The sequence below is a fragment of the Homo sapiens genome, chromosome 1 (assembly GCF_000001405.40).
Source record: "Homo sapiens chromosome 1, GRCh38.p14 Primary Assembly".
In the NCBI taxonomy this organism is placed as follows: Eukaryota; Metazoa; Chordata; class Mammalia; order Primates; family Hominidae; genus Homo; species Homo sapiens.
In genome coordinates this window covers 154,223,120-154,247,401 of record NC_000001.11, presented here as the reverse complement: position 1 = coordinate 154,247,401, position 24,282 = coordinate 154,223,120, and the positions used below count along the sequence as shown (strand labels likewise).

At 41.4% G+C, this 24,282-nt stretch overlaps 1 protein-coding gene across 52 annotated transcripts in view, besides 1 other annotated feature; it reads right to left on the bottom strand.

Moving 5' to 3' along the window:
• The window catches only part of UBAP2L (ubiquitin associated protein 2 like), a 51,339-nt gene that overhangs the window by 24,109 nt on the left and 2,948 nt on the right, over positions 1–24,282 (bottom strand). For 29 of the 52 annotated variants that reach the window (XM_047435869.1, XM_047435875.1, XM_047435827.1 and 26 more), the window contains exons 2-11: positions 22,189–22,318; positions 20,043–20,120; positions 18,677–18,787; positions 12,643–12,811; positions 12,111–12,206; positions 10,791–10,836; positions 10,266–10,378; positions 5,837–5,889; positions 4,100–4,185; positions 1,027–1,198 (exon numbers count right to left, since the gene is read on the bottom strand). In XM_047435869.1, the coding sequence (XP_047291825.1) occupies positions 1,027–1,198; positions 4,100–4,185; positions 5,837–5,889; positions 10,266–10,378; positions 10,791–10,836; positions 12,111–12,206; positions 12,643–12,811; positions 18,677–18,787; positions 20,043–20,120; positions 22,189–22,278 (1,014 nt within the window). In that variant the 5' untranslated portion in view covers positions 22,279–22,318. Of the gene's footprint in view, positions 1–1,026; positions 1,199–4,099; positions 4,186–5,836; positions 5,890–10,265; positions 10,379–10,790; positions 10,837–12,110; positions 12,207–12,609; positions 12,812–18,676; positions 18,788–20,042; positions 20,121–22,188; positions 22,319–24,282 lie in introns of all 52 variants that reach the window. The other 23 variants (XM_005245668.5, NM_001330730.1, XM_005245669.5 and 20 more) reach the window with 2 other exon arrangements.
• Positions 13,718–14,217: an enhancer, noted in NCBI's record as "H3K4me1 hESC enhancer chr1:154205661-154206160 (GRCh37/hg19 assembly coordinates)". NCBI's record gives its function as "activates a minimal SCP1, AML or CMV promoter by ChIP-STARR-seq in naive H9 embryonic stem cells {active_cell/tissue: H9 hESC(naive)}" and the evidence as "EXISTENCE:reporter gene assay evidence [ECO:0000049][PMID:30033119]".

Genomic DNA, 24,282 nt, shown 5'->3' with positions numbered 1-24,282 from the left:
TTTCTTCTTTTTCTATTTAATCCCAACACTTCTCTCCATTTCCCTTCTCCTCCCACCTCTTCTCACCTGTTACCTTTCCTATGTGGCAGGACATCGACCACCAAATTACTAACTTAACACACACAAAAAACATTTTAAGACAACAATTAAAAACTGACCGAGTTCTGAATTAGTAGCTAGCTTGGCAGTTTTCTAGTTAAACTAATTACTCTAACTGGAAAAATAAAATTATATGCACACACATGGTCTGCTTACAACTTTAGTATCCCTCCATCAAAAAATAGGAGAGAAAAAGAGAAAAAAAGAAAAAGCAGTACTTCTCAGGACTCAATGACTATGAGAAAACTGGTACTTGTAGCATCTTTGTTTAGTTTAAATGATTCCTTTGATGTCGTTAATGACCTTGGATGTTTTAAATGCTCTGAGTCAACAAGTAATATGTCATAAGTTCTAAGTTATTTATAATATCACTACTGAAACCACACTTGTATAGCCACCTTTGGGAAGATGGGAAGGACTAGCACTTTTATCCCTATTTACATAGAAATGGAGACACAGCTAGTAAGTGGCAGAAATGGGAAGACCATAGGTTTCTGGAGGCCTTGTCTACAAATACCTGGTTTAAGTAAATATACAAGACAATTCTGATCCATCAAGAAATGGGGAACTGCTACAATCTCCCATCATAGTTTAATGAGGGCTGCAAAAGGATTAAAATGTATTGACAAGTTTATGTCATTGATTTTCTCTCAAGAGTAATGGCAAATGGTGTTCATTCAGCACAATGAGTAGTCAATAAATAATGTTAACTTATTCTTATAAGAATATTCAGTCTGTCCAGAACTAAGTCCTCTCTTAGAGCTACCCCCTATTACCCAACTCAAACATTTCTACAACCAAGTCTGCTTAAGAAGACAAAGAGGATGCTTCACCTGCCAAAAACCTGACTGTCTTTGGAAGGAACTGTGTATGTGTGCTAGGATTAGCAGGAAGGTTTGATTAGGATAAACCACGTTTCCTACTCACCATACTGTGATGAGAAAATGTGTTCCCTGAAGCAGGCTGTGATATGGCAGTCTGCTTCGAATTACTGAACACCAGAGGCTGGGCCAGAGAAGGAGCCTGAGACGGATCCAGATTAGATGAATCATTCTCCATTGTAGATGGTGTCTTCCCCAGCAGAACAGCAAGGTCAATTCTAATGGGGAAGGGAAGGGATCTTCATGAAGAATGACTGAACACGCTAACATTCCCCAACACTCAAATCAGATTAGATCAAAATGAAGCCACTTGCTGGGGCTTCTTCTAAAAGGGTTCAAACACAAAAGCCTTGAAATGCTTAAATGTCCCAAAATAACTGATGCATAAGAGTCACTACAGTATATAGCTGAATTCCACTGATGTTGCCAATAATAATGGTTAATTTTTTAAGTGAAGTTATTAATTTAATGAAATATCAAATGCTAGTTTTTGTTTGTTTGTTTGTTTCGAGAAAGTCTCGCTCTGTCACCCAGGCTGGAGTGCAGTGGTGCAATCTTGGCTCACTGCTAGCTCTGCCTCCTGGGTTCACGCCATTCTCCTGCCTCAGCCTGTAGCTGGGACTACAGGTGCCTGCCACCACGCCCGGCTAATTTTTTTTTTTTGTATTTTTAATAGAGAAGGGGTTTCACGTGTTAGCCAGGATGGTCTCAATCTCCTGACCTCATGATCCGCCCGCCTTGGCCTCCCAAAGTGCTGGGATTACAGGCGTTAGCCACCGCACCGCACCCGGCCTCAAATGCTAGTTTTAACATGGCAGCTCAATAACTCAGCCAAAACTTACAAGTACTTATCCATGATTTTAATACTGAATACCTGTCATTACCAATTCCTAAAACAGAAAATCATATACCAGAACACTGGAATCTTCAAATGGCTTTAGAACAGGGGCAGTCTGAGAGATATTTTTTCCCACAATTTTCGTAAAATTTCAAAAGTTACCTGTGGTATAATATATACTTGAGCTTTGCCTTGTTCCTGGCATGGAGCTCCTAAAACATTTAGAATTTCCTAAGTGATAGTGTCCTTTGTTACTCATAACACACTTCTTTCAACCATACCTGAATGCTAATGAGGTAGCCCAGGGTGGGGCCCCAGATAGTTTCAGGATGAGGGTTGGTCACTAGAAAGACCAGATAAGGCTGGATGCAGTGGCTCACACCTGTAACTCGGCACTTTGGGAGGCCAAAGCAGGCGGATACTTGAAGTCAGGAGTTTGAGACCAGCCTGGCCAACATGGTAAAACCCTACTAAAAATACAAAACTTAGCCTGGCGTGGTGGCGGGTGCCTACTATACCAGCTACTCGGGAGGCTGAGGCAGGAGAATCGCTTGAACCTGGGAGGCGGAGGTTGCAGTGAGCCAAGATTGTGCCACTGCCCTCCAGCCTGGGCAACAGAGTGAGACTCTGTCTCAAAAAAAGAGACCAGGTAAGAGTGTTGGAACTTTCAGAAGCCCCTCCCAATCCCACCAAATTCCAGGGGTGTAGGCGAGGTGGCTATTAAGTCCAATCACCAATGGCCAATGATTTAATCAATCATGCCTAGGTAATAAAACTCATAACAATAAGATTTGGAGAGCTTCAGGATACCTGCAGAGGACAAGGAGGTTGTGTGTGCCCCACCCACATACCCATTCATACCTTGCCCTACTCATTTCTTCCGTTTAGCTGTTGCTGAGTTGTACCTTTATAATAAACCAGTAATGGGCCAGGTGTGGTGGCTCACACCTGTAATCCCAGCACTTTGGGAGGCTGAGGTGGGTGGATCACCTGAGGTCAGGCTGGCCAACATGGTGAAACGCTGCCTCTACTAAAAATAAAAAATTAGCTGGGTATAGTGGTGCATGCCTGTAATCCCAGATACTAGGGAGGCTGAGGCAGAAGAATGGCTTGAACCCAGGAGAAGGTTGCAGTGAGCCAAGATCACGCCACTGCACTCCAGCCTGGGTGACAGAACAAGACTCCGTCTCGTCTCAAAAACAAAAACAAAAAAACAGTAACGGCAAGTAAAACTCCTGAGTTCAGTCATTCTAGTGAGTTATCAAACTTGAAAGGCGGTCATGGGAACCTCCAAATTTGTAGCTGGCTGGCAGAACCTCTGAAGTTGGGGCACTCTTGTAGAACTGAGCTTTCAACTTGTGGGGTCTGCATTAACTCTGGGTAGTTAACGTCAGAACTGAATTTTTGAGCTATCAGGCTCAGGTCTAGAAAAAATCCAAGAGGTTTCCAGCGAATTAAAAATATTCCCTGAAGAGTGTATCTCCTACCACTGATCCCTAGAGATTTAAATTCTAAAACGTTTATTAGCTGGATCCTGCTGATCCAAAGGAAAAAAACAACTGTTATACTCAGTGGGCTCAGAGAACAGGAGAATAAACTGCTGAACAGTTCTAAAAGATTCAGAAATAAATGAAAACATTTCCACTTTTGGCTCTTCTTTCCCTGACTTACTTCAAAACAAGTTATATACTCAATGCTGGTGATATGAAAGGCTGATCTTTGTAATTAAAGTGCTATTTGCAGGGAGAATCAACTTTAAAATTGTAACATATCAACTTCCATTCAGCAGATTAACTAGTACTAACTCTTAGAAGTCTCTCCATCAACTGGCGCGGTGGTTCATGCCTGTAATCCCAGCACTTCGGGAGGCAGAGGTGGGCGGATTACCCGAGGTCAGGAGTTCGAGACCAGCCTGGCCAACATGGTGAAACACCGTCTCTACTAAAAATACAAAAATTAGCCAGGCGTGGTGGCACACGCCTGTAATCCCAGCTACTCGGGAGACTGAGGCAGGAGAATTGCTTGAGCCCAGGAGGCAGAGGTTGCAGTGAGCCGAAATCGTGCCACTGCACTCCAGCCTGGCCGATACAGTGAGACTCTGTCTCAAAAACAAAAAAAAAAAGAAGTCTCTCCATCAACTTAAGAGGAATGTAATGATGTAATGTAATTTGGTTATTATTATTGACACCATGGGAGTTTACAAAGGCCAGTGCCACTTCTCTTTACAGTAATCTCAGCAGATGTGTTTAAGAAATGGTACTAAATTTTACTGCACACTTGCCTCTGACCAGCAGTGATTGTCACATTCTCCGCAGGCAGAGGCACTGAAGACACATTAGAGGCAGTGAAGATCTTGGTCTCAGAAAGCTGGAAAACAGAGGGATTAGTCACTCTTGGTGTCAGGGATGCTACAGTCAGAAACTTGGCATAGGTAAGGGGAATTCAACATCAAGAAAAAGTGAAAGCCCTATAAAGAGAAAACTATCTACCCTGAGGAATCCTGAATGGATTGACTTTCAAGCCCTTCAATATATGCTCAATAGTTTTAGCCAAAGAAAGAGTAGAAGCAAGGAACCCAATAAAATATAGTGGAGTCACATGATCATATGCATACTGAACTTACAGGCATGCTAGACATAAAAAAAAAAAAATAAAAGAAAGAAAATCCCTCTATATTTTCCCATTACAGTTCCCAACTCCCACCTCTTCCCAAACCACATTTGTCTTCTACTACTCCCTTCACAGCCCCACCCCTCCCAAAGAAAGATCATAACCAAGATGAAGAAATAAATAAAAGAAGTTCATTTTTAGCTTTTGAGCAGTAAGGGCCCAAGTGCTGCTGAATTAAGGTTTTTATGGGAGATCGTTTTAACTAGATGTTATTTTTGCCTTAATATTTGACTTTGTGACATCTAGTCCTTCCACTATTAAGGCATCAAACTTAGGTAAGCAAATGCAGGGATTAACTTTTCCTACTATTCAAAAGTTGATTTGGGTTTCAGTTTTATTTCTTGATTAAAATCGCTAAAGCACAGAAAATCCACTCTCCCCTCAATGCCCAACACCATTTATCATTCTCTGAAAGTTGCTTAAGCGGACAAGCCAAATCTCAGAAAGGAACATAATTTGCCCATTTTCACAAAGCAGTCTAGTTCATTGATTATACAATAGAAAATAATCACCCTGTGATGCTGATGCCTCTGAAATTTAAAAAACCCAGAATTGGCAACCAAAACAGTCTTCACATGTCATTTCCTCTTATCACAAAAGCTGTCTTGCCTAACTACATGAAAGTATAGAAAAGTACATAGATTAAAAATGTTAAAACAAGAGTTTATCCATGATCACTGAAAACCATAATTCACAGCAGAAGCTTGACTGTGACCAGGAATCAGCAAAATTCTTACTCAGGTAGTACTCAAATGAATTCACAGAGCTTGTTTACGTGCCACCCATCTATGAGGTTTCCAAGTTAAGTCAAGCTGGCAGATAGCCAATTCTACAGATATTCATCTCAATCACAATTATACAGTTGGGCTTCAAATAAATACAAGGGTTCCAGAGTCAACCAGATTACAAGTTTGAGGATTTGGTACCACAACACTCGCTTTGGATCCACTGCCAATCCATTACAGGACCTTATAGCAAATACTTAAATGCACCAAGTAGTCATGTACCACCAGCAGCTGTTACTCAATGCACTACCTGCCTAACTCCACTTCTGGTGCCCTACCCAACCACCAATCTCTTCCTGGGATAAATCCGACAATCAGATATTGGACTTACACAAGTGCACTTGCCCTTTCCATAGTGTGGTTCCACAGAGTCCTGTTCATGCCCAGTCTCCTTCATATAACATATGTGAAATGTTCTGGCTCAGAACACTATTTTGGATGTAAAAGTTTTGGGTCAGAATCTTAAGGGTGAATTTTGAGGGGTAGAAACATACCCATTTTCTATCCCTAAACAACACTTAGGGATAGAAGGCATTAGTGAGGAATGACCTGGGAATACCTACATCTTCATTCCAATCTTCAGTCCCCCACTCCTCTGTTGCAGTCCTCCATGCACCTGAGAATAAAGAAAAATAGTGAAGTAACTTCACTATTAAATGCCAGTACAAAGCATGTATAGAAAACATCAATGTATTAATTTTTTTGGCAGCCAAAAGTATGACTAAAATTTAGTAATCAGAAGGCCAGGTGTGGTGGCTCACACCTATAATCCTAATACTTTGAGAGGCCGAGGTGGGTGGATCACTTGAGGTCGGGAGTTCGAGACCAGCCTGACCAACATGGAGAAACCCTGTCTCTACTAAAAATACAAAATTAGCTGGGCGTGGTGGCACATGCCTGTAATCCCAGCTACGCGGGAGGCTGAGGCAGAAGAATGGCTTGAACCTGGGAGGTGGAGGTTGCAGTGAGCTGAGATCGCGGCATTGCACTCCAGCCTGGGCAACAAGAGTGAAACTGTCTCAAAACAAACAAAAACAAAAAACAAAACAAAAAAAAAGAAATTCTTGGGCTTCAAAGGTAAGGAAACACTCTTTAGAAAAGGATATCTCAGAGTACCAGGGTTTTAATAAGATTATGATTTCATAGCTACTTTCAGTTTTTGTTACAAAGCAGGAATGGGGGTGGGGGGGGGGACAGACAGACAACCACCCAATGCTCAAAGCAGTATCTTTAAGGTCCTCAGGTTGATTTAGTGGTCAATTCAGTGAAATGGCAGCAGCCAATTTAAACCATAACATGCAAACTACACCTATTTATCTAGTATAAGACAAAAAATACTGTAGGCAGTCTGAAGAAGGATAGTAGCACTGATAGAGAAACACAAATGGTTACCACATAATGGTTAGTGAAAGAGCAGTGAAGAAGGGTGGGTTTGAAACCCGAACTGAGGGCATTGAAAACTATCTGCTATGAGAATTAGATTAAAAATGCATACTCAGCAGAAGTCAAGTTTATAGATCTTATTGGTTTAACTGTATAAGAAAAGCCCCTATAGAGCTGTCCTCTTCAAAAGACAATGAACAAGACTGAAAAATCAGGTATGAATGATAGTTACTGTCCTAACCTTACTCATATAGAACTTGAAACCTGACCTGCTATGGTCATGGCACAGACAACGGGAGTATACACTGTCCTTGTGTTTGTTGGTAATACGGAAGCTGGGATACAGTTTCTACTGGAGAAATCCAAAAGCAATCAAACCACCTTCCACATTCCTTTTTTGTGCTTCATGTATACATATATTTTCAGAAAAAAAAAAATGTCCTTTCTTAAAAAATAAGGGTGAGAATTTCTAACAAGAACCAGGATTCTTCCCTTCAGCCAAAGGCACAGTAAAAACAAGAACCTGTCTGAAGAAGGGACAAGAGCACCCTTATTTTCTTGCTAGAATAATATATATTAAATAACTCTTCAATCCTTCCCTCCTACTGGAAAAAAGCTTATAAGAATGAAATGAAAAGTCTGACATTCAGATGCTGTGCCACTGAAGAGAAGTATTCTAACACCACATTAGAAGTATTCTAATACAAAGCCCATCTAAAATTCTTCTAAACATTTAATAATGCAAAAATCTTCTTTCTTAGAGGAAAATATATTCATTGTAAAGACTTTCCCAGGAAAATATTAAAATTGCACCAGGGAAATCCTAAACCACTTAATAATGACAATATTCTCAAAACCAAAGTCCAATCTCAGTACAGACAAGTTACAAACCACATTCTTTTCTCCTTCATTGATACCACACTTTCTTCTCATTGACATCCATCTTATCCTGGCTCGATGGAATCCAAGTTGCATTAGCACTTATACACAATCCTAGAGTTAGACATGATCTAACAGGTTATTTAATCTAGGCTCTTGATGCAAGAATTTTTTTCTGCACACTGATGACTTCAACTGGGATGGAAAGGAGGAACGTAGACACCTAACTGGTATGTTCCTATTCAGGATATACGGTCATGGCTGAGGAAGAGAGAGAGCTGAGGAAGCATTAAGGAACAGAATAGATGGAAATGCTCTAAACAACAGACTAGGGTTTCCATTCCATTAGCAGAAAGCAATCAGTGTAACTGTCAAATATTCATTAAATGAACAGAAAGGTAAGTGGACACAGAAAAATGAGAGAAAAAGGCAGAAAGAGAAAAAGCAGAAAGACATAAAAATGACATATCCACAGATATTTCAGCTCATAAAAATCTACAAAAATATCTGGGGCAGTTAGGCACCTGGATGTATCATACCAGGAGCAGTCTGGGGGATAATTTTGGGGGATAATTTGACCCCTCAACCCCAATGAAATCAAGTCCTGAAACAAAAAAAAAAGAAAAGAAAAGAAAAAACAACCAGTGAAATTTTGCTTGTAAATGAGAAAGTCTGCCCCAATACATAATCCCCATTGTACCTGTGGATATTTTAAAGGTAGGTTTGGATTTTTTTTTTAATTTAAAGGGGAAACTCAAGTTTGCTATCAGGAAAACACAAAAAGAAACCATGCATGAAGGTATGTTCATATCATGAAATTAACAACGACCAGGCGTGGTGGCTCACACCTGTAATCCCAGCACTTTGGGAGGCCAAGGCAGGTGGATCACTTGAGGTCAGGAGTTTGAGACCAGCCTGGCCAACATAGTGAAACCCCATCTCTACTAAAAATACAAAAATTAGCCAGGCGTGGTGGCGTGCACCTGTAGTCCCAGCTACTCAGGAGGCTGAGACATGAGAATAGCTTGAACTCAGGAGGCAGAGGCTGTAGTGAGCCAAGATCGCACCACTGCACTCCAGCCTGAGTGACAGAGCAAGACTCTGTCTCAAAAAAGAAAAAAAGAAAAGAAAAAAAAAATTAATGACAATGGGAATTCATGAAGCTATAACCAACACTTTTGCACTAACAAGACGATAGTGGCGTCACATTCAGCTACAAATCAGATTTCCAATTCCAGCCTTGCACATCTGCTCCCTTTTCTACTCAGTAGAAATTAACACACACACTACCTTTCGCTGTTTTTCCAACCAGATCCTTACTGAAGACAGCGAAGGCTAAGGACTGGGACCCCATGCCTGAATTTCTATTCACAACTAAAAACAAACTTTTCAACTTCTGCCATCTTACCTGCCAAAGATAAAAAGCCAAATACCCAGGAATAAGCTACAGCTCAAAAACAGTAACTTATTTGTTATTGAGACTGCTACCACTGCCTCTACAAAGCCATCAAGAGATGAATGAAGAACAGTTCTAATGCCTCCGAAGTATAGTAAGTTAAACTATAACAGGACATTTCGTAACTAAATGATGCAGAAATTCAAAGATACCTATCTTGTAACTCAACTTCAGCCTCCACCCATGAAATGTGTTAAAAATGAATTTATAAGATAGCAACTTGGCGAACAAAAAGCAGACGACATTCAGAGCCTCAGGAATAATATATTGTAGGAAAAAGGTGGAAAACTATTTGTGCCAAAGGCTCTCCTAAAGGCCCAGAGATCACGTATCTGTGAAAGGTGACAAGGCAAATTTAAACAGGTAAGGAGTCAAACATTTCAGGCCCTACTCATCCCCCTTTGTAAGAGGAAAAAAAGCCTTAGGCTCTCATGTGTTAGCTCAGCCAGAATGAGGCAGCTGTTCAAGAAAGCACTCCAGAGTTTTCTTACTAAAATGAACTGCTCTTATTGAAAGTGGCACACGTATCCACCCCCAAACACATCTTAGGTGTATACCACAGCTTAACATATCCTTAAACATTTATATCCAGCCCAGACGCAGGCACCAAAGTCAGTTAACAAAAAAGTAATCTTATTCAAACCCTGAATACTCCATCACACCAAGAAGGCTGTTCAACAGGGCACCAGAAAGGCTAGAGAGATTTCGAAATCTTCTTGTTCAGATACTGACATGTCCCAAAAATAAAGGGAAAAAAAGGATATTCTTATCTCAGTAACAGAAAACAAATAAATGGATAGTGTGGACTTTGATTCTAGGCCTTGTTCATCTTTACAAGCAGTGGCTTGATTAATTCTGGCTATCTTTTCAAAAGGCAACACTACCCTAACATAAACACTAGAAAATACACTTGGACCTAATAGCAGTGACATAGCATAGTTGAAAGGGCATGGACTTTCAGGGTCAAACAATGCTGAGTTCAAATACTAGCAAATTTATAACCTCTCTTTCGGCCTTAGTTTTGTCATCTGGAAAGTGATGATAAATAATGATTATTTCATACAATATCAAGCAGCATTAAGCGAAATAACATGTGTAATGTGCCCATATGCACGTTACATAAACAGTACACACAGTAATACAACTGCCAGCCCTTTCTCACCCTATCTCCATAACCAAACACTATTCTTCCACGTTTTAATGTAAGTATAATCAGAAAAAACTATTTCCTTAGATTCCCAGAGACAAGAAATGAATGATAAATGGTCACTCACTCGTCCCATCATCTGGTTCAAAGTGGCCAGTGTTGTTCCACGTATTGCCGCTGCTATTGCCATAGTTATCATCAGTATTGGCTGGCTCTGCATAATCAGCTGGGTTAAAGGTTCTGGAAAAAATAAAACTTAAGAGTCTCTGACCTCTAAGCAGCTTTGGCAAATATTAACTCAAAGAATCAAAATCTTGACTGCATCCTTCCTAGTACAAATCTGTCATGGCCCCATTCTATAATCCTGTGTGTCATCTACTTTTTCTCACTTATCACTCTACCCAAAATTTCATGGTATAATCTCAACATATATCTAAGATATTCTGAGAAAAGAACAGGTATATTGATTCAAATAAAGATATATAAAATATAGGTAATGATCCAGGTGGTAAAGGTTTATCCCTAAGAAATGAGCCCTAAGTCCCCATATCTTTCTGACCAGTCTAGAAATCATTCTGATCATTTTGGTTAAGGCTGCCTACAGTAATTTTTAAGGGAAAAAAAATTAAGACACTAGATCAATGAAACTTACCCCATTCCTTGAGCAGAAAACCTTCCTCCTCGCCTACCAGAGCCACCTAAAGAAAGAATGAGAAAAAGAGAAGAGAGATGTATTTTAGAAGTTGATATAAAACTTCCTTGCCAGGCAGGCACAGTGGCTCCCGGTGGTAATCCCAGCACTTTGAAAGGCTGAGGGCGGGCGGATTGGTTGCATCCAGAAGTTCGAGACCAGCCTAGGCAATAGAGCAAAACCCTATCTCTATAAAAAGTACAAAAATTTGCTGAGTGTGGTGGCACACACCTATAGTCCCAGCTCCTTGAGGGGCTGAGGCAGGAGGATCACTTGAATCCAGGAGGCAGAGGCTACAGTGAGCTAAGACCGCACTACTGCACTCCAGCCTGGGTGACAGTGAAACCTTGCCTCAAAAATACAAAAAACTACCCTGCCAGCTGAGGCAGCTCTGGAATAAAAAGTGGTTGATACTATCAGATGTTCTTTCTCTCTGTCCCATGTTACACATCAGTAATAGAGTAGGACAATCATTACTGTTGAGAGATTTTTCTTTTGCTCTCAGACTACCATGTCCTCAAGCAAATACAATACTAGCAATAAAGACTAGAGGAAATGACATCTACCTTCTTTCTCACTCTCCCCTTCTGCAATCTCTAGTATATGCATGACACCTCAGGAATTAACTAACTAGACTTCATGTTAATTTGTTTTTAAACAAAGTAGACCCTGGAGCCAAGTGCTGTCTCTCACACCTATAACCTCAGCACTTGGAGAGGCCAAGCAGGAAGATCTCTTGAAGCCAGGAGTTTGAGACCACCCTGGGCAACATATTGAGACTCCATCTCTACAAAAGCATTTAAAAATTAGCGAGGCGGGCGCATCACTTTAGGTCAGGAGTTCGAGGCCAGCCTGGCCAATGTAGTGAAAGCCCATCTCTACTAAAAATACAAAAATTAGCTGGGCGTAGTGACGCACGCTTGTAATCCCAGCTACTTGGGAGACTGAGGCAGAAGAATCGCTTGAACCCGGGAGGCAGAGGTTGCAGTGAGCCAAGATCGCGCCACTGCACTCCAGCCTGGGTGACAGTGCGAGACTCCATCTCAAAAAAAATTAGCCAGGCATACTGGCGGCCACCTGTAGTCTTAGCTACTAGGGAGGCTGAGGCAGGAGGATCACTTGAGCCCAGGAGTCTGAGGCTGCAGTGAGCTATGACTGTGCCACTGCACTCCGGCCTGGGTGAGAGTGAGACTACCTCCAATAAAAAAAAAAAATAAAGCAGACCATTAATGAATAAAGAGTAACCTGCCCCCAATATCCATCCCCCAACAAACTGATCACCTCTGCCTCGGCCACGGCCCCTTCTGCCTCTTTCTGTTCCTCTTCCAGAAGGCCCTCCACTCTTGGTGCCATCCAATCCATTTTCCTGACCTCGAACTGAAATAAAAATAAAAATTAAAACAACAACAACAACAAAAAAACCAAACCACAGATGGCCAGAGCACAGTCAACAGGATATATACAAATATATAAATGGTATGTAATATGGTATTGGGAATTAAAAAAACAACGAAGAGAAAATGAGCTGGAAGGATGGGAACATGTTTCTCAGGGAATGGTAATGTGCCTTAATGGAGAGCTGCAAGTCAAATTTAACTTTATAAATGACTACAGGGTAATCTCATGCCAGACTGGTGGCAGTTGGTAGAAAAGGCCACATGCAAGAGATGTCAAGGTCTCAGAACAGACGACGGCAAGAAAAGCAAAAGGATAATATAATGGTTCCTAGGTCCTGACTAGCAGGGCCCTGGCACATCCCTAGAGTCTAGACATTACTGACCCACAGCTGGTTTTGATAAAGCCCCATGCATACACTCTCGTCCACGGCTGGCACCTCTCCCCCGTCTTGGTGGCCCACCACGTCGCCGACTATAGTCTCTGTCCCGGTCTCGATTTTCTTTGCCTTCCTCATTGGATTCCGTCTGGCCACCATCCTTCTGGCCTGAGACTCCCTTCTTCTTCCCGACCATCTCCCAGGAATGCTATAGAAGGGTAGAGCATTCATATCTAATCAATATGGAGTGCTATCAGGACACTAGAGATGAAAGCTGGGATGACTGATTGACTTAACCATTCTCCACTCAGCATCCATGTCTAAAACACTTCCATTAGTTTGCTTTTACTTCTGTTTAAATATTTTATACATATCACTACAAAAAGTAAAGTCCTTTATTTTTTATTTATTTATATTTATTTATTTATTTATTTTTGAGACAGAGTCTCGCTCTGTTGCCCAGGCTGGAGTGCAGTGGTGTGATCTTGGCTCACTGCAACCTCCACCTCCCAGGTTCAAGCGATTCTCGTGCCTCAGTCTCTCAAGTAGCTGGGATTACAGGCACGCGACACCATGCCCGGCTAATTTTTGTATTTTTAGTAAAGACAGGGTTTCACCACGTTGGCCAGGCTGGTCTCTCAAACTCCTGACCACAGGTGGTCCACCCACCTCGGCCTCTTAAAGTGCTGGGATTACAGATGTGAGCCACTGCACCCAAAGTGCTGGGATTACAGACGTGAGCCACCAAGCCCAGCCATAAAGTCTTTTTTGTAGGGAAGGTACTTATAGGAAACATTGCAGGGATCACTTCCAAGAGGATTACAAAGACCTCTATCTAATTCAGTCACTTAGCATATTAGTCAAAGGACCAAGTTATTGGTCCCTATCTTTCAAGTGTTATTTCCTGGGCTAAAAAAAAAAAAGAAAAAACTAATTTCCTTCGGAGTCAGTGACCCACAACTTTTTATAGCATCATTCATACCAAATAAAGCAAAAAAGAAAATGTTTCTAAAAGTTACCTATGAATTCAGAATGAATGAGCAGCATTCTACTCTTGGGCACGTTCTCTAATCTCACCCATAAATTTAGGAGGAAAACAACTAGAGCTACCTACCTACAGACACACACACACACACACACACACACAGCAATTTCATTTAAAAGATCAGGCTGGGTGGCCAGGTGCGGTGGCTCACACCTGTAATCCCAGCACTTTGGGAGGCCAAGGCGGGCAGATCACAAGGGCAGGAGTTTGAGACCAGCCTGGCCAACACGGTGAAACCCCGTCTCTACTAAAAATACAAAAATCAGCCAGGTGTGGTGGTGCGCACCTGTAATCCCAGCTACTCAGGAGGCTGAAGCAGGAGAACTGCTTGAACCTGGGAGGTGGAGGTTGCAATGACGCAAGATCGCACCACACCACTGCACTCTAGCCTGGGCCACAGAGCAAGGTTCCATCTCAAAGAAAAAAAAAGAAAAAAAAGGGCCAGGCGCGGTGACTCACGCCTGTAATTCCAGCACTTTGGGAGGCCGAGGAGAGTGGATTGCCTGAGGTCAAGAGTTTGAGAACAGCCTGGCCAACATAGTGAAACCCTGTCTCTACCAAAAATACAAAAAATTAGCTGGGCGTGGTGGCAGGCACCTGTAATCCCCGCTACTCGGGAGACTGGGGCAGGAGAATCGCTTGAACCCAGGAGTCGGAGGTTGCAGTAAGCTGAGATCCTGCCATTGCACTCCAGCCTGGGCGACAGAGGAGTCTCCATCTCAAAAAAAAAAAAAAGAAAAAAAGGTAAGGCTGGGTGTGGTGGCTCACACCTATAACCTCAGCACTTTGGGAGGTCGAGAGATCAAGGCAGGAGGATCATTTCAGGCCAGGAATCTGAGACCAGCCCAGGCAACCAAATGAGACTCTGGTCTCTACTAAAAATTTAAAAATTAGCCAAGTATGGTGGTACACTCCTGTCACCCAAACCACTTGAAGGCTGAGGCAGAATGATCACTTGAGCCCAGGAGATTGAGGCTGCGGTGAGTCGTGGTTATGTGACTGTACTCAGTCTAGGTGACAGAGTAAGACCCTGTCTCAAAAAGTATATAAAAATAAAAATAAAAGAAGACCAAACGACAGTCGCAGCCCTGACCCCAAGAGATACTGATTATACAAAGCCTTCCATCCAGGTTTTACTTGCAGTGTTCTCCCTATATTTCCTAAATTGGTATCAGCCAATTTAACTTTCCCCAGTGAAAAATACATATCTATGATACATTCCTAACTGCAAGAGGGAAAGTCTGTGGTAAGGAAAATAAGCTTAACACCCTTGCAAAACACTCTTCCTCAGGAAAATGAGCATTGTAAACTTAAAAGTTTTTAAAAAAATGCATACCTTGATTTACACATATTTTTGTAAAAAACCTGTACAAATGGAACTTCCAGGACAAACACCAACACTATCAGATTTCTTTCCTTTTTTTTTTTTTGGAAACTTAGTCTCACTTTGTCACCATGCTGGAGTGCAGTGGTGCGATCTCGGCTCACTGCAACCTCCGCCTCCCAGGTTGAAGTGATTCTCCTGCCTCAGCCTCCCAAGCAACTGGGACTACAGGGCACCACCAGGCCCAGCTAATTTTTGCATTTTTAGTAGAGATGGGGTTTCACCATGTTGGCCAGGATGGTCTTGATCACTTGACCTCGTGATCCGCCCGCCATGGCCTCCCAAAGTGCTGGGATTACAGGTGTGAGCCACTGTGCACAGCCTCAGATCTTTATTATCTTACCATCAAACTCAATCATGGCCCTAGTGCTCAGTAACAGCTACCTAATGTCTAATCACTTTCAGAATATGGGCTGAGTATTAGATAATACAAAATTATTAACCTTATCAGGATTGATAATAGTATTATGGTAATGTAAGAGTATCCTCCTTTAAGGGAAGCATGTTGAAGAACTTAAGGGTATCAAGTATTATGTCTACAACTTCCAGATAATTCCAAGTGTCCACTGATGAGTAAACAAAATGCCACATATATGTACAACGGAATATTAGCCTTAAAAAGGAATGAAATTCTGACCCATGCCACAATATGGACGAACCTTGAAACATTACACTAAGTGAAGTAAGTTAGACATACAAGGTCAAATATTACATGATTTCACTTACATGAGATCTCTAAAACAGGCAAATTCATAGAAATAGAAAACAGGGCCGGGGATGGTGGCTCACACCTATAATCCCAGCACTTTCCGAGGCCAAGGAGGGTGGATCACTTGAGGCCAGGAGTTAGAGACCATCCTAGGCAACATGGCAAAACCCTGTCTCTACTAAACATACCAAAATCAGCCAGGTGTGGTGGCACACACCTGTGGCCCTAGCTGCTTGGGAGGCTGAGGTGGGAAAAACGCTTGAGCCCAGGAGGCAGAGGCTGCAGTGAGCCGAGATCTCACCATTGCACTCCAGCCTGGGCAACAGAGCAAGACTCCATCTCAAAAAAAAGAAAAAAGAAAAAAAAAAAAAAGCCAAGTGTGGTGGCGCACACCTGTTGTCCCAGCTACTAAAGAGGCTGAGGTGGGAGGATTGCTTGAACCCAGGTGTCCATGGCTGCAGTGATCATGCTACTGCACTCCAGCCTGGGTGACAGGGCAAGACCCCATCTCTTAATTCATTTGTTTTAAAAAGATTACCTACCCAAGACTTGGTAGTTTGTTGCTGCCTACTCTTCCAACCCAAGCCTATTATACATTACAGTTAGTGGGTCATTTTATGCTCACAGTAAGTTAGAACAACCCTGTAGCTAAATATACACCAGGAACACTCTGGAAGCTAGACTCAAAACAGCTTTTAGAATTTATGCTGCTATCTCAAAACCTGGCAAGTTTCAGGAAACTGTAACCTTTCTCCCTCCTCTGTATGCACATCTGTTGCTGGCACAAGATGGGTCAGGAGAAAGAATTACTATTATCTTCCCAAAGGCGACTTCAGTTTTCTGAAATGATCTCACCCACCCAAATACATCCAATATCCCTGGGAGCTGACTTTGCTTCCCATTGGTTTCACTAGTAGCTAGTTTATTCGTAACATAAACCTATATTCTCCAGCTTATTTTCCTTTTTGATACTGTATAACATCAGCCTTATAGCACTAGACAGAAGATGCTGGAAGGTAAGATAAAATGTGATTTGCGAAAAAACATTCAGACTTTTAAAAAAACATAAATAGCCCCACCTGATTCCCCCCATAAAATCTGGAGACAATTATTCTAGAGTAAACCCAAAACAAATCAAAAGCATATCTTGATTGGCCAGATAGTAAATATTCAAATAAGGTCAACAGTGTAAAATTTAATCCAGGATAACACTTTTGAAGAAAAAACCCACCAATTTAAATTCAATTGTTTTTAAAAGTTTTCCATTATTATTTCCCATTGTCTCAAAGAAATTGACAAACCTCCTGCATTTAGCTGGAGTGACTCTGTAGTATCAGAAAGCTGTTGTATCTGAGGCCAGGTTTCATGGCTCACGCCTGTAATCCTAACATTTTGGAAGGCCGAGGCAGGAGGATTGCCTGAGCTCAGGAGTTCAAGACCACCCTGGGCAACATAGTGAAACACTGTCTCCACTAAAATACAAAAAATTAGCCAGGCATGGTGGTGCATGCCTGTAGTCCCAGCTACTCGGGAAGCTGAGGCATGAGAATTGCTTGAACCCAGGAGGCAGAGTTTGCAGTGAGCCGAGATGTACTCCGGCCTGGGAGACAGAGAGAGACACCGTCTCAAAAAAAAAAAATTAGCTGGGTATGGTGGTGAATGCCTGTAATCCCAGCTACTCTGGAGGCTGAGGCACAGGATCACTTGAACCTGGGAGGTGGAGGCTGCAGAGAGCAGGTTCACGCCACTGCACTCCAGCCTGGGCAACAAGAGCAAGACTCTGACTCAAGAAAAAAAACAAGTTGTTATCTGTAAGGATGAATTTTGATATCTATTCCAACCAAAGAGCCCCAGTATAAGACCCAATAAATGAAAATGATTTCAAAATAATACACTGGGCCAGGTGCGGTGGCTCATGCCCATAATCCCAGCACTTTGGGAGGACGAGGCGGGCAGCTAGCTTGAGTCCAGGAGTTTGAAATCAGCCTGAGCAACATGGAGAAACCCTGGCTCTACTAAAAATGGGAAAATCAGCTGGACATGGTGGCCCATGCCTGTGGTCCCAGCTACTCAGGAGGCTGAAGTAGGAGGATCACCTAAGCCCAGGACGAGGAGGTTGCAGCATGTCAGTGTACTCCAGCCAGGGCCACAGAGTAAGACCCTGGCTCAAAATAATAATAATAATAATAATACACTGCTCATTAAAAAAACAAAATTTCTCTAGTAAGCACTGCAGGAACATTCTGAAGATCAATAAGGCAGTCAGAGGATTACAATTTGGTACAAACATAAGACAAGCATAAAAACAGAATTCTCATGAAGTGGGAAGGAGAAGTGAAAGCGACTTGTCTAAATTCCAGGGCAAGAGATCCTCCAAGATATCCCCTATCATCTCCAGGGATGGTCAGCAGGCTACAAAGCTTGTTTCTCTGCTACCTCAACAGAAGGAAGTTCAGGCAATGAAACAGTAGTGTGCAATGCGAAGCTGATATTGAGGGGAATGTCCTGAATTCAGAATCAAATATGTAAAATAAATAAAATAAAATAAAATAAAAAGAAAAAAAAACAGAATCAAGTATAGTGTGTGACTTTGTTCAACAGCAATATCCAAGGCTATCAAATCGCACCTCTAATTCAGCCTAACCCCACAGCCTGAAAACAGTCACTAGCCTGGAATAAATAATTTATTCCAGGCCAATTAGCAGAGACTGATTTCACTGTTTTCTCCTATGAGCATTATCCTCATAAAAAGGATGTAGTACACATAAATTTTAAGTATTTATAACCTGTGGTGAACAATCTCCAAGAAAGTTCCCAACTTTACTTCAAGAAAAAGGTGCTCTGCTTTAAGGTATGTTGCCATTTGCTACTTTTAGAACATTACTAGCCTCCCAATTGAGGACCCATGTCCTAGAACACTCTATAAGCACTCTACCGTGTCTGGGTTTCCTTCCAGAAGAACATTGATAGCTCTGTTGACATCTCCATTGCAGTCATGCAAAGCAATCACACATTCATCCTGGTTCTTGCCTGTAATATCAATCAACTGAAAGAGAAAAAACAGCAACCATCATGAACAGGCTTATGCTCACACTCCCAATGAAAGGAAACTAGGTGAAGGGAAACGCTATCAGTTGAGTTTGAAAAAAACAAGTTTAAAAAGCAAAAGATGAGGGCTGGGCACAGTGGCTCACGCCTATAATCCCAGCACTTTGCAAGGCTGAGGTGGGCGGATCACCTGAGGTCAGGAGTTTGAGACCAACCTGACCAAAATGATTAAACCTGTCTCTACTAAAAATACAAAAATTAGCTGGGTGTGGTGGCGGGCGCCTGTAATCCTAGCTACTTGGGAGGCTGGGGCAGAAGAATTGCTTGAACCCAGGAGGCGGAGGTTGCAGTGAGCTGAGATTGCGCCACTGCACTCTAGCCTGGACCACAGAGCAAGACTCCGTCTCAAAATAAAAAAAAAAACAAAAAAGAAAGAAAGAAAAATGATGTAGAATTTGCCTAGCAGGTTTTCCAGAACCACCCCCCCAACCCCCGCCAAAAAGGAAAACATGTAGAATTTTGGTATTCTATTTCCAAAAGCCAAATATTAACATCTGTGGTTCAGGGATGAGGTCAAAAGTATTTACAAAGCAATTAAGCATCAAATACAGAATCAAACTCTGAAACACACAGGCTTCAGCATGAATTTCCACATTTCCTATACCCACAACTGCTCAGTTTCTACAAAATGGCATCAGCAACAGGCAAGAGGTTAAAATTAAGATAAAATTTCCAAACAAAGTATCTATCCAAAGGGCTACAATAGGCTGGGTGCAGTGGCTCACACCTGTAATCCCAGCACTTTGGGAGGCTGAGGCAGGCAGATCACTTGAGGTCAGGAGTTCGAGACCAGCCTGGCCAACATGGTGAAACCCCATCTTTACTAAAAATACAAAAAATTAGCCAGGCATGGTGGTGAGCGCCTGTAATCCCAACTACTCGGGAGGCTGAAGCACGAGAATCGCTTGAACTCGGGAGGCAGAAGCTGCAATGAGCCAAGATCATGCCACTGCACTCCAGCCTGGGTGACAGAGTGAGACTTCATCTGAAAAAAAAACAAAAAACAAAACAAAGGGCTACAAAAAATTAGAGAATGAAAGCACTTATTTATTGGCCTGACCTATTATATTTCAGGTCAAAATTCTTTCAATACCTATAGTAGAAAGTATCCTGGCATCCATCTACAGTATTTGATTATGCCTTAATACTGGTATCTTTTCTCATAGTGTACAGTAAATTAGTGATACACTCACTTGTTTCACCTTCTCCTCAAAGTCAGCATCATTATGGTCCGAAATCATCTGTGCAAGTCTAATTTGTTCTGCAGTGGCCTAGGAATTGAGATGAGATCAAGAAAGCATAATCATGAGGCAACAGTTTAGAGAACAGGAACCTATTTCGTCAGCCTCCACTGCCCCAATTTTCTTTTCCTTGTAACAAATGAGCAAGTAATAAAGCACCATTTAGGACGCTTAATGGGGGATCAGGGATAGGTGCGGGTGGTGGCTCACGCCTGTAATTCCACACTTTGGGAGCCCAAGGCAGACAGATCACCTGATGTGAGTAGTTTGAGACCAGCCTGGCCAACATGGCAAAACCCCGTCTCTACTAAAAATACAAAAATTAGCCGGGTGTGGTGGTGCACACCTGTAGGTCCAGCTACTCGGGAGGCTGAGGCAGGAGAATTGCTTGAATCTGGGAGGAGGAGGTTGCAGTGAACTGAGATAGTGGCACTGCACTCCAGCCTAAGTGATAGAGCAAGACTCCACCTCAAAAAAAAAGATGCTTAAATCAGTAAAATGACAAAAAATTGAGTGAAACTGTTACAGAAAGAGTAAGGAACTCATTCACCAATCTTCACAGTTAAAGGGACTTCCGTCTTAGAATCACAGAACCGCTCTGAAACATCTGCCCCTTAATTCATATTAAGTCACAAAGCCATGTGTAAACTCTATTCTTATTTCTGTAATAACCAACGCCATCCTCTTATTCCTAGAGCTTAGAATACAAGTCTGACAATAGACTCAACACATCTTCTATATATCCAGTGTATGTTCAGATACTAGGAATTTTACTGCCCCAACTAAGTATTATAATTCTACTAGAAATCCACTTGAAAACACAGATGAAAGAAAAATGCGTAAGGGGGATGTCCTAATCTTACATATTCGATTTATCTGACCATAATCAAATATAAGTAATTCATTCACATTACATACCAACTAACATCAACCTGGTATGAGAAACAGAATATATCTACATCAAAGTTAATATCCAAGAGGTTAATTTACTCTTTAAAACTTAAAATTGAGCAATGCTCTAAGGTGTTTCATTTAATTTTGAAGAAACATAGTGAAGTTGCCAGCTCCTCATGGGAAAGGAATAATCAGGTAAGGTCTCAATGGAACCAGAGAGGAAAATAAAAGACAAGTTGGGGAAAAGAGGAGCAAAGGATAAAATCTGGAATGGAAAAGGCTTGCTAGAGAGGTATCAAGGTGGGGCAGGGCACAGCGGCTCATGCCTATAATCCCAGTACTCTGGGAGGCCGAGGCAGGTGGATCACCTGAGGGCAGGAGTTCGAGACCAGCCTGACCAACACGGTGAAACCCTGTCTCTACTAAAAATACAAAAATTAGCTGGGCATGGTAGCACACTCCTGTAATCCCAGCTACTCAGAAAGCTGAGGCAGGAGAATTGCTTGAACCTGGAAGGCAGAGGTTGCAGTGAGCCGAAGTGGCGCCATTGCACTCAAGCCTGGGCAACAGAGCGAGACTCCGTCTCAAAAACAAAAGAGAGAGATATCAAGGTGGAAGGTCTAAGAAATAGAAAGGTATTGCTAAAATGGCCCAGGTAAGAGAAGGGAAATGCTATCTTAAGAGTTATAGAGCCGGGCAGTGACTCACACCTATAATCCCATGAGTTCAAGACCAGCCTGGGCAATGCAGCAAGACTACCATCTCTACAAGAATTTTAAAATTAGCCTGGCATGGTAGTGTGCACTGGTAGTCCCAGCTACTCAGGAGGCTGAGGCGGGAGGATCACTTAAGCCCCAGAGGTTGAGGCTACAAATGAATGGTGACTGTGCCACTGCACTTTGACCTAGGCAAAGGGAGCTCCTATCTTAAAACAAAACAAAAAAAAAAAAGATAAAAAGCACAGGACCCATAATAAAGTGCTAAGCCTCATAATACAGTATTAAACAACAAAAAAGTAAGCATCTTGCCTTACAGCATGTCATGAACAGTTATCAGGACCTAAGTAAAAAAAGAGCCAAGGACTAGAAAACAAAAATAAGGAACCTAAACCAACAGTTCAAAGCACAGAATGATGCTGTACTGCATGGAAACCAGTATCAGCAGGCAACGCTATCCATGAATCCGTATGCCTTGGATTATTTACCTGTGGCCGCTGCTTGTGCTGTGTCTGGTTTTGGTTTTGAGGTTGTTCCCAGTTTCCCCGGGCTCGGTTAGTGCCCACCGATGTCATCATTTACAGTATATACAAATAACAGTATTTACAAGGTAGAATACTGAAAGATTTAAAAGAAAATTAGGTATTAAATGTGGGCAAAATATGTTTTTAACTCTCTCATCAGCACCTTCACCACCAAACACTTTCACTTCTTCAAAGGAACAAATCAATAAGATTCATTTATTCTTACAACATAATTAGCTTGATAAATTCCTTAAGGAGCTATGGCTGTTAATCCATTTTTATGTAACAAGAAATGTATAAAGCATGTGTAAGTGATGGATTTTTTTAAGAAGTTACAGCAGTTTGGTTACTAGTCCCCCATAAGCAGACTTTACATTTAACTAATAATCAAAAGCCTTTTACATAGATGCAAGTATCTGAAGTACCTTTGACAGAAGGAAAGATAATCAGTAAAGTCTGGAAACAAAAACCTTCCAGGAAGGAGATTAGTCTACACTCCAGAGAAATAATTTTAAATACTGTATTCAATCACCTAAGAAAACAGCCTTACCTGCCTTACAACCTTTTTTATGTAAGCTGCATGTGACCTCCATTGCTTGGGAAAGGACAAGTTCAAGTCTAGACTCTTCTTTGTCCCTCAAGTTTCATCTCTCTCAGTATGCTATGGGTTTGTTTTGTGTTTGTGGGGGTTTTTTGTTTTTTTAAACCACAGCCTTCAACAGGGTACGTATTAGCCCCAATGACTTTGTCCAGAATCTCTGTTCTCTGGAAAATAATTCCAACACACTGCTTTTACAGGTGCTTCTCTTGGTCTCCTAGTCCACATTTTCAAGAAACCAAAATGGCAATTACCCTCCACCACTCACCTTAATATACAGGGAATCTCAAATTTGTCTCAAACCAAAAGCATCTAGCACAAAGTTTTATTTGGAAGAAAGTGCTTCTAAGAAATCATTTTAAACTTGAGACCTTAATGCTGGCAAGATGACTTAGTTGAGTCTTTAAAGAGACACAGAACACACAGGGCCTTCCCCAAACCAGAATATAGTTTTTGTTACAAGACTTCTAACAAGGAAGGATTCTACTGAATTCAAGTTCCTTTAGTTCATACTTTGTTTTATAATACAATCTCAGCTGCTGCATTTAGTAAAAAAGAAAACATTAATCATATGATAGAGTGTTCAAAATAATAGGTTACTCTGCATTTATTCCCTTCCAAAGAGGGTAAGTTTATACTTTTCTGCTCTATATTTAATTTTTCTTGTTAATGAAACCTTATACAACGTAATTCTAGACTGCCCAGAGATATTACTGGATTTGAGTGGGAGGAAGGACTTCTAAAGAAATATGCAAGGATTAACTATTAGGGAAGTGAATTTCATCTGACTTTCTTGGATGTCACAGAGAAAGCTGACTTTTTCTGTGCATAAATTCTTCACCAAGTTGCGTCAATAGGTTGCATAGGTCTTTGTATCAAGAAAGATTTTTTTAAGGTAGCTTCTCAGGTAATTTTTAACCCATTACCTCTTCCCCCTACACATATTGGCACACAAAAGCCCATAAGTATTTCAAGCTAGAAAGGATTATTTGCTACACAGTAGCCCATTTTCCCAGGTTAGCATTATAGTCGTTTCAACTTTACAAAAAAAAAAAATGTTTAACCAAGTACCCCGAATCCAAATCAACAAGACTACATATACACATATATACGTATATATATAAAGACGAGAGGAAAACTATTTTGTTTTAAAATTGGCTCTAAGATGAAGTTTCTAATATGGCATAGTCATTTCCAACCCACTACTGTAACTTACAAATATTGACTGTTTTCTACTCCACATGTGATATCTATTTGTGAGGATAAGTTATATTGCAGGTATAAACTGCATGACTAGCTATACACTATTGCATATACTGTACCAGTCAGATGTAAACATATTAAAAAGTCATCTTGAAAGATATAATTAACCAAGAAAGAAAAAAATTCTCCTAATCACTCTTGCTAGTAACATTTCCCTCTTACAAGTGCTTCGAAATGTGACTAAGAAAATTTTTACC